Source organism: Homo sapiens, chromosome 2, assembly GCF_000001405.40.
Source record: "Homo sapiens chromosome 2, GRCh38.p14 Primary Assembly".
NCBI lineage: Eukaryota > Metazoa > Chordata > Mammalia > Primates > Hominidae > Homo > Homo sapiens.
The window spans coordinates 16783622-16785419 of record NC_000002.12 but is presented as its reverse complement, the minus strand read 5'-3'; the positions used below and the strand labels follow the sequence as shown (position 1 = coordinate 16785419).

Below are 1798 nucleotides of genomic sequence, written 5' to 3'. Positions count from 1 at the left end.
ATGGCCTTGGTCTGACATTTCAAGGTTCGTGAGAATCATGTATAAAATCTGCAGCCAGGAGCTCCTGCCCCAAGCTCCTACTTTCTCGATGATTTGAACAGCAGGATACCAATTATGGGTTCTTTGCAAAACTCCTTAGACCACACTGTGTCTCTGTAGGCACTTACATTTTATTTGATGACAGTGACATTGATGCATAATGGTTTCCACCCCTGCAAACAATTATAGATTCTATAGCTCATATAGGAGAGAGATTTGCTGCAAAATTTAACAGTTTACACTAGAAAAGAAACGCTGTCCCTCGTGTGCAGTTTGTACATTCAAGATCTTATACCTCATTCCTCCATTCTATTCTCTTTATTTTATTAAGTGATCAACATTTAGGGAAAGGCTCTCAGGAATTTTGCTGTAAAACATTCATCCTCTTTCCATCTGGAATACAGAAACCAGAAACAATATCAGAGAGTCACTAAACAGGTAGTACATGCTGTAGTCCTCACCACGCACAGAAAGTGTAAGTAATGTTTCCAAGATTGCACAGCTGGAGATTGATGGAGGCTCGCATTACAATACAAGCAATTTGTAACCATTGCACCAGAGTCCAGCAGGAGGGAGAGTAGTTTAGGCAGCAGGAGAAGCACTAGGAGACGCAACTCCTGGATCCATTCTCAACTCTGCCTCTAATGACCTGAAGTAGCTAGGGCACACCACTGCATTAATTTGCTCAGACTTCCATAACCAAGTACCACAGATGGATGGCTTAAGCAACAGAAATTTATCTTCTCAGAGTCCTGGAGGCTGGAAGTCCAAGATCAAGGTGTTGACAGGTCTGATTTCATTCTGAGGACTCTCTCCTTGGCTTGGAGATGGCCACCTTCTCATCGTGCCTTCACATGGGCATCGCTCTGTACATGTCTGTGTCCACGTTTCTTCTTCTTATAAGGATACCATGCATATTGGATTAGGGCCCACCCTAATGACCCCATTTAACCTTAATTATCTCTTTAAAGACACTGTCTCCAAATACAGCCACATTCAGAGGTACTGGGGGTTAGGATTTCAACCCATGAGTTGGTGGGAGGGGACATAATTCAGCCAGTAACACAGGCTAAAATCAAGGTGTCAGCATGGCTGCATTGCCTTCTGGAAGCTATAGGGGAGGGTCTGTTTCCTTGCCTCTTCCAGCAGCTAGAGGCCATCTGCATTGCTTGGCTAGTGGCCCCTGTTTCCATTTTCAAAGCATTGCACTTTAACCACTGCTTCCATCATCCTTCTCTCACCCTAGCTCTGTTCTTCCTTCCTTAAAAAGACCCTATGATTTTAATAAGTCTACCTGAATAATCCAAAATGGTCAAAGCCTTTTACCACATAAGGTAACATATTTACAAGTCCCAGGAATGGGGGTCTGGGGGGTACAATGCAGCCTGTAATAACCACTTTATGTTTCCAGGCCTTTGTCTGTAAATCTATAAAATATGAAATAGCCAGCCCTGCCCATCACGTAGTCCTCTTATAAGGATAAAATAGTATATTTACTATAAAAATGTTTGCGGCTATCAGGGCCACCACACATGTGAGGTACAACTAATCACAGATGTTTATAGTTTTCATTTCTGTACCCTCTGACTGTCCTATACCTTGTACAGATTGGAAACACAAGTATTTAGTAAATTAAATGCATATAATATTGTTTATTAATTCTCTGAACACTCAAAACAATGTAACAGAAGTGATGCAGGTATTTCACAAAAGCTTATTAATTTGGTTTATGTACCCTTTTCTAGCCAAGAACTTCATT

At 41.5% G+C, this 1798-nt stretch overlaps 1 annotated feature.

Annotated features, from left to right (window-relative positions):
• Window positions 301-854: an enhancer, noted in NCBI's record as "NANOG hESC enhancer chr2:16965833-16966386 (GRCh37/hg19 assembly coordinates)". NCBI's record gives its function as "activates a minimal SCP1, AML or CMV promoter by ChIP-STARR-seq in primed H9 embryonic stem cells {active_cell/tissue: H9 hESC(primed)}" and the evidence as "EXISTENCE:reporter gene assay evidence [ECO:0000049][PMID:30033119]".